Source organism: Homo sapiens, chromosome 12, assembly GCF_000001405.40.
Source record: "Homo sapiens chromosome 12, GRCh38.p14 Primary Assembly".
Classification (NCBI taxonomy): Eukaryota; Metazoa; Chordata; class Mammalia; order Primates; family Hominidae; genus Homo; species Homo sapiens.
In genome coordinates, this window is record NC_000012.12 from 116701361 (window position 1) to 116710147 (window position 8787).

The 8787-nt window shown below is 45.1% G+C and overlaps 2 annotated features.

Moving 5' to 3' along the window:
• Positions 6462-6511: an enhancer, noted in NCBI's record as "active region_7098". NCBI's record gives its function as "activates an Ori minimal core promoter by ATAC-STARR-seq in GM12878 lymphoblastoid cells {active_cell/tissue: GM12878}" and the evidence as "EXISTENCE:reporter gene assay evidence [ECO:0000049][PMID:35858748]".
• Positions 7812-7991: an enhancer, noted in NCBI's record as "active region_7099". NCBI's record gives its function as "activates an Ori minimal core promoter by ATAC-STARR-seq in GM12878 lymphoblastoid cells {active_cell/tissue: GM12878}" and the evidence as "EXISTENCE:reporter gene assay evidence [ECO:0000049][PMID:35858748]".

Sequence of the window (8787 nt, forward strand, 5' to 3'; positions counted from 1 at the left end):
TTTTCATTACCTCCCTGAAAGAAATCCCATATCAATTAGCCATCACTCCCCATTTCCCCCAGTCCCTTCAGCCCCAAGCAACCACTAATCTACTTTCTGTCTCTACAGATGTGCCTATATTCCGATTTGCCATTTCTCGTTAAGTGGAATCATAGATGATGTGGCCTTTGTGACTAGCTTCTTGTTTAGGATTTAGCATCAGGCTGCCGAGTTTCATCCATGTTGTAGCATGGATCAGCACTTCCTTCCTTTTTGTGGCTGAGTAATATTCCACTGTTTGGGTAGACCACATTTTGTTTATGGTTGAATAATATTCCACTGCATGGGTAGACCACATTTTGTTTAAATATTCCTCTGCTGATGAACATCTGGGCTATTTCTACCTTGTGGCTACTGGAATAGTGCTGTTGTAAATATTTGTGTACACATTTTTCCGTACATTTTAGAAAATCACATTTTTGTGCCTTTTGTTAAAGACTGAAAGAAAAGTTATAAACACATGCTCTCATTGAACAGTGTTACAAATATTTATTGAAACGACTGAGGCATTTAGGGCAGGATAAAGCAGCTGGGTATGGTAAAAAGAAAAGTGAGTCAAAAGTCAAGGCCGGGCATGGTGGCTCACGCCTGTAATCCCAGCATTTTGGGAGGCCGAGGCGGGGGGATTGTTTAAGTCCAGGAGTTCGAGACCAGCCTGGCCAACATAGCGAAATCCTGTCTCTGCTAAAAATACAAATATTAGCTGGGCATGGTGGTTTGTGCCTGTAGTCCCAGCTACTTGGGGGGCTGAGGCAGGAGGATCACTTGAACCTTGGGAGGTTGAGGCTGCAGTGAGCCGTGATCGCACCACTGCACTCCAGCCTGGGTGAAGGAATGAGACCCTGTCTCAAAAAAAAAAAAACAAAAAAGTCAACATACAGAATGATTGATCTTTTTGATTCATTCACTAAATACTTATTAAAATATCTCCTGAGCATAAGATGGTATCCTGGGTACTGATGATTTCACTCCCTAGCTAGTCTATCATTCCATTATTATTATTATTATTATTATTATTATTATTATTATTATTATTTTCAGATGGAGATTCACTCTTTTCACCCAGGCTGGACTGCAGTGGCATAATCTCTGCTCACTGCAACCTCCACCTCCCAGGTTCAAGCGATTCTCCTGCCTCAACCTCCCGAGTAGCTGGGATTACATGTGCATGCCACCAGCCCTGGCTAATTTTTGTATTTTTAGTAGACATAAGGTTTCCCATGTTGGCCAGGCTGGTCTCCAACTCCTGACCCCAAGTGATCCGCCCGCCTTGGCCCCTCAAAGTGCTGGGATTACAGGTGTGAGCCACTGCACCTGGCCTATCATTCCTTGAAAAATACAAAGTTGCTGCTGTTCTAGAAAACAATCAAAGGTCAATCATTTGTCTTTTCAGGGCCTCCTCTTCTCATCAGCAGGCAGGGACAGTGCATCGACCCAGAGGCCTGGGAGAGGCAGGAATAATGATGCGCCAGAGAGAATTCTGGCTTCGGGAGAATCAGAGACTTAACAAATATAATGCTGACAATATGACCATTATGACACAAGAAACTATTTGTATCCATTGTCCTTTCCTCGCCTGAAATAACCTATTGCTTCCTACTCGGTGATGACATTTTTCAGGCACCAAGAGTTGCCCGTGGAACAAGAAGTACATAAACTTCCTTGCTTTGTAGAAAACAGATTCCGTTTTATAAGTGGTTTAGTATTTAGACACTACCTCCAAAGGTTGGGAAGGCCCTTACAAAGCAACAGGAGTCGGCCAGAATGAAAAGAATCAGCCGATGGCTGGGAGGCGGAGGCTTCAGTGAGCCGAGATCGCACCACTGCACTCCAGCCTGGGCGACAAAAGTGAGACTCCATCTCAAAAAAATAAAAATAAAAAAATAAAAATAAATAAAGGAATGATAGACTTGCCAATCTGCCTTGGAGAAGCAACAGACGGCTAAATCGTAGGGTTCCTGGCATTGCATTTGCCCACATTTGCCAGCAGATGGCGACGTGATCCTGCAATGTTGCATTAGTGCAACCCCGGGCAATGAAAGGTCAGGGACAGGGCACCTGAAGCTGGCTACTTGGAGACTTGGGAACCTCATCTATTGCTTTGCAGAGGTCCGAACACCACTAAACACATTTGGGAGGGAGGAACAGAGGAAGGTCGACCAATGACGTGTTTAAAACAGCTGCAAGGATCGGATGAAATTTGCAATTGGCTTGAGCTTGAACTCCAGATAATCTCCAGAATAAAGACATGGGGGTGGGAGTTAAAACAAAGAACTTGATGCAAATTAGGGTCAAACAATGATCCCCTTATGGCACATCCATTCCAAGGAATATCTTCAGTCATTAGAAAACCAAGTGGTGGTCTGAGCACGGTGGCTCATGCCTGTAATCCCAGGGCTTTGAGAGGCTGAGGCAGGCAGATCACTTGAGGCTGATTCAAAACCAGCCTGGCCAACATGGCAAAACCCCATCTTTACTAAAAACACAAAAATTAGCCGGGCATGGTGGCATGCACCTGTAATCCCAGCTACTCTGGAGGCTGAGGCAGGAGAATCTCTTGAACCTCAGAGGCAGAGGTTGCAGTGAGCTGAGACCACACCACTGCACTCCAGCCTGGGTGACCCAGTGAGACTCTGTCTCAAAAAAAGAAAAAAAGAAAAAAAAATTAGACAAATTGAACTTCATCAAAATTAAACTTCTATGCTTCCAAGAACGCCATCAAAAAAGTGAAAAAAACCAACCACAGAAAGGGAGGAAATATTTGCAAATCTGATCTAGAATATATAAAGAATTCTAACAACTCAAAAATGAAAAGACATAAAAGCTAATTTTAAAATGGGCAAAGGATTTAGATACATCTCTCTCCAGAGAAGATACACAAATGGCCAATAAGCACATGAAAAGATGTTCAACATCATCAGCCATCAGAGATGTGCAAGTCAAAACCATCCTGCGATAGACCCCACTTTACATCCACTAGGATGGCTATAATTTTAAAAAGCAGACAATGACAAGTGTTGGCAAGGATGTGATGAGAAATTGGAATCCTTGTACATTGTGGGTGGAAATGCAAAATGGTATAGCTGCTTTGGCAAACAGTCTAGTAGTTCCTCAAAAGGGGAAACACTGATCAAATTTGACCCAGCAATTCCACTCTTTCATATCCCAAGAAAACTAAAAACATAATTCATGTCCACGAAAAACTTGGACATGAATTTTAAAGCAGCATTATTGGCCAGGTGTAGTGGCTCACGCTTGTAATTCTAGCACTTTGGGAGGCCAAGGCGGGCAGATCACTTGAGGTCAGGAGTTCAAGACCAGCCTGGCCAACATGGCGAAACCCTGTCTTTACTAAAAAAAAAAAAAATACAAAAATTAGCCAGGCATGGTGGCACATGCCTGTAATCCCACTATTTGGGAGGCTGAGGCAGGAGATAACTTGAACCCGGGAGGCAGAGGTGGCAGTGAGCCAAGATCGCACCACTGCACTCCAGCCTGGGCAATAGAGCGAGACTGTCTCAAAAAAAAAAAAAAAAAGAAATAAAGAAAAGAACAGAAAAAAATCATTATTCATGAGAGCCAAAAGCGGAAACAATCCAGATGTCCATCAACAGATGAGTATTTTAACAAAATGTGGTATAGCCACACAATGGAATACTATTCGGTCATACAAAGGGATGGAGTACTGGTCCATGCTACAACATGATTGAACCTTGAAAACATCATTTTAAGTGAAGGAAGCCAGACACAAAAGACTCTACTAAAAAGACCCTGTCTCCACTAAAAATACAAAAATTAGCCGGGCATGGTGGCATGTGCCTGTAGTCCCAGCAACTCGGGAGGTTGAGGCAGGAGAATCACCCAAACCCGGGAGGTGGAGGTTGCAGTGAGCTGAGATTGTGCCACTGCACTCCAGCCTGGCTGACAAGAGCGGAACTCCATCTCAATCAATCAATCAATCAATCAATCAATAAAATTGATAGTGGTAATGGATGCACAACTCTGTGAATAAAGTCATTGACTTGTATACTTCAAATGGGTGAATTGTAAGTAAATTATATCTCAATAAAGCTGTTACCAAAAAATCAAATGCTAGACTATTTAACATGGAAAACCATTCCCATTACATTGTTAGGTGAAGAAAGGGAGAGAGAGAGAATGGGGCCCCAGGGCTGCTGGGTTCCATAGCTCCCTGTGAATGATGGCCCTTGGAGATGCAGAATGAAATGTGGGATTTCACCCCTCTCCATGATCCATGCATGCGTGGTGGAAATTGACTCTGGCTGCCCAACTCCGCAGTGGCGTGCAACTCACTTTCTCTCCAACTCATCCTTCAAAGCCCTTTAAGGGATATTTGGTTACAACATGGTAAAATATAATGAGATTCCAATTTTTGTTTCTATTAAATATATTAATATATAAGCGCATGTGTGCATGAAAATAGATACACATCAAAGGATAACAGTGGTTGTCTACAGGTAGAAAGGTTATGGAGCTTTTATTTTCTCCTTCATATTTGTATTGCTCTAATTTTCTGTAATGCAGTGTATTAATTTGCAATTAGAAAAATATATATATGTATTTTAAAATGTGTCTATAACCCCAACACTTTGGGAGGCCAAGGTGGGCAGATTGCTAGAGTCTAGGAGTTCAAGACCACTTTGAGCAACATGGCAAAACCCCGTCTCTACAAAAATACAAAAAATTAGCCGGGCATGGTGGTGTGCACTTGTAGTCCCAGATACTCCGGAGGCTGAGGTGGGAGGATCACTTGAGCCTGGGAGGTTGAGGCTGCAGTGAACCGTGATCACACCAGTGTACTCCAGCCTGAGTGACAGAGCAAGACCCTGTCTCAAAAAAAAAAAAAATTAAAAGATAAAAATAAAAACATATTGTTTTATTCTGTAAGTCTTCTCTGCCTGCCTCACTCACATAGTAACACTCCTTTTATCCTCACATTTATAACCCTGTTTAACAGGTAGTGGCATAATTGCTTATCTTCTCCAACAGACATCTGAAGACAGATATCATTCCTAATTTATCATTCCATCCAAAACCCAGAAATGCCTGCCTTTGATATGCCTGGTGAACATAGTACGCATTACCAAATACTAAGCAGTATCTTCTGTGTGAAGCCTACATTAAAATTTTATTCAAGACTTTGTACCCTTTGAGGAGACAGTAATACAGTCCCTTCAATGCTTTATATTATCATGAAGGATTATTTCCCTTTTTGCCCTTGCTGCCAGGAAGCTTACTTGCATCAACTGTGTTGCTGGCTTACAGTTGCACATCTGATTCTAACTTTCTTCCTTGAGTCTAATGTGTGGCATTTCCTCAACTTCTTTTTGAAAATAAACCAGCTACACTCAGTGTAGCTCTATGCATGAGGTAGGAATAAATAAATAAATAGTGGCTACTCTGTTGAGGATAAAATATTTTCTTTGGAAATCCAAAGTGGTATTTTATCCTAAGAGGGATGGTAGCATCAACATCTAAGGGTGCTCAGGCACAATGTGTCCAGAACCAGAGGCTTGGAGCAACTCAGTTTTAAGCCCCGGAAGGGATGAAGCATCTTCCAGTTCTGTATACTCCCCAAGTACCTACACAGAGCTGGGCGAAGAGTAAGCACCCTTTAAATACCTGCTGCGTGAATACTCAGGGCTCAAAATTCCGTATCCTTGCCATGCAAGGGGTCACAAAGTTTAACCCAGGGTTTCTCAGCCTTAGCACTTCTGACACTCAGGCCAGTGAGTTCTTTGTTGTGGGCTGGTTGTCCTGGGTGTTGTGGGATGTTGAACAACATCCTTGGCCTCTACCCACCAGATGCCAGTAGCACCCCTGCACATAAATTTTTTGACAATCAAAAATGTCTTCGAACATTGCCAAATATCCCCTGGGGGCAAAATCTCCCTCTGGTTAAACAGCATGGGTTTTTGCCAGGTGTGGTGGCATGGGCCTGTAGTCCCGGCTACTTGGGAGGCTGAGGTGGGAGGATCACCTGAGATCAGGGATTGGAGACCAGCCTGGGCAACACAGCAAGATCCCATCTCTAAAAAAAAAAAAATTAAAAATTAGTCAGGCATGGTGGCTCATGCCTGTAGTCCCAGCTACTCAGGTGACTAAGATGGGAGGATCACTTGAGCCCAGGAGTTCGAGGCTGCAGTGAGCAGTGATTGTGCCACTGCACTCCAGCCTGGGCCACAAAGCAAAACTTTGTCTCAAAACAAACAAACAAAGAAACAAAAACAACAACAAAATGTCTTCAAACATTGCTTGAAGTGGGTGGTGTAAAATCTCCCACTGATTAAACAGCACTGGTTTCAAGCAACACCTTCCAGGTCCTAGAAGCCACCAACTACAATTCTAGAATACCAGGGCTGGAAGGACCCCATGCATTATCCTGTTGACATCCTTTCATAGACAGGCCAATGGGCCCAGAAATAAGAGACTGAGGCACAGCCCCTGCCCACAGGAAACAACAAAGGGTGATCAAAACGTGCCAAGGCAACGCGCTGCCCCGGCCCTGCTTGCACGCAGATTGGAGTTGCAGGTGGCTCCTCCATGTCATGGTGTAAACTTGTGCTAAAATTAACCTGAGCGTCTGAGACTTCCTCTATAAAATGACAAAAAAGAACACCTGGCTGGGCGCGGTGATTCATGCCCTGTAATCCCAGCACTTTGGGAGGCCAAGGTGGGCAGATCACCTGAGGTCAGGACTTCAAGACCAGCCGGCCAACATGATGAAACCCCATCTCTACTAAAAATACAAAAATTAGCCAGGCATAGTGGCATGCACCTGTAGTCCCAGCTACTTGGGAGGCTGAAACAGGAGAATCGCTTGAACCCGGGAGGCAGAGGTTGCAGTGAGCAGAGATCGCGCCACCGCACTCCAGCCTGGGTGACAGGACTCCATTCCAAGAGAAAAAAGAAAAGGAATGCCTGGCTGGGTGCAGTGGCTCACGCCTATAATAATCCCACCGTTTTGGGAGGCTGAGGCAGGCAGATCACTTGAGCCCAGGAGTTCAAGACCAGCCTGAGCAATATATCGAGATCCCCATCTCTACTAAACATTTTTAAAAAATAACTGGGTGTAATGATGTGTGCCTGCAGTCCCAGCTACTCAGGAGGCTGAGGTGGGAGGATCACTTGAGCCTGGGAGGTTGAGGCTACAGTGAACCAAGATCGCGCCACTGCACTCCAGCCTGGGTAACAGAGTGAGACCCTGTCTTGCTCTCTCTCTCTCTCTCTCTCTCTCTCACACACACACACAAAAGAAGAATGCTGGTCTCTGAAGATGGGGATGGGACGCTGCACGTGCAGAGTGGCACATGGCAAGTGCTTCATAAATGTTTTTCTTTGTCTGAGTATGAATGGTTAAGAGGCCTATCCCACTTTTCGTGTTGGCGGAGGGTGCAGGAGGAAGAAGGGGGTAGCTGTGAGTATTTATTTAAGCCTTGGGTCTTCTCTGCACCAGCAGCATGCCCAGTTCCCTCTTCTGCAAGGGCTACTTTCCTGAGTCCCTGTTCACAAAATCGCCCGGACCCAGGAAAGAGTCCTGATCTGTCATCCCCACCAGATGGTTCTCATCTATAGAAACAGCTTCATTGTTTTCAGGAGAGAGAGCTCCACGCAGGCACGGGGCCCATAATCTCTAGACAACGATCACATTGAGGACAGAAAACCTATGGCATTGGTGCCACCAAGTGGCACAGAAAGCAATTGTCGGTGTCTGTGCCACCCGCGCTGCCTTGCTCTCCACTTTCCATCTCTCCATCTTCTCCTCCTTCCCTTGAAATCGCACCGCAAGTGTCATTTGACTACACTGCCATCCTTCGAGGTCTGAAAGGGCTGCAGTGAGAAGAAAGGGCTTTACGATCACATGTGACTCGGCTCTGTAGTTCCTCCCCGTGCTAAATCAGGTCAATGAGCTGATTTGTGTCAAATAAATTAGCCCAGCCGGCTGCTAAGCTGCTCCAAGCCTATCTGTCTTGGGCTTCCAGGTTGGCATTTAGCAGGCTGCAGGCACAGCCCAGGCAGGTATGGATGCCACGGACGGAGCTCGAGGAGCACGCCCTGAAGTGCTGCCCAGATGCAAACCTCCCGGGAGAAACTGAGTCCAGCACGTGCCTAGGGAAGAGAGCACAGTGGATTCCAGCTCCCGACATCCTGCTGCAGATGCCACGGAGCATTTAGGAACATCTTTAGAAACTGAAGTCCTTTATACCCTCGAAAACCACCATGTAGACCAGCAGCTTGACAGGGCGGAGCTGGCTGGTGCTGGGGGAAATGTGGACTGCCTTGAGCTCAAATAATCTTACAACACCAGGTAGCCAGTAAGACGGTCCACAGATCCTCCCCTAGCCTTTTTATATTTTACATTTCTGCATTTAGCAATTCACTAAAATAAATGACAGGCTCAGGAGATCTGGAGTGCAGTTTTCCCGATCTCTGCTCTCTCAGGAAAGTCGAGTCACGCCGAGAGACACCCTGCCGTGACAGGTTTCTTCAGCATCCCTAATGCAGGTCAACTCCGGCCGCGACAAATGCCTATAATTTATTTGTGCAGAACAAAAAGACTTCCTTCCCCACTGCATAAAATCAGACAAGGAAAAAGCAGGCAAAGCTAAACTCCTGTGCAATTATGAAAGGGTTTTAACCTCTAACTGGGCTTCAATCTTCCAGGCAGGATGATAGAAGTGGAAAGTGCGCTTGCCTGCTCTGCAAATGAATTCGCTATCATTGGAT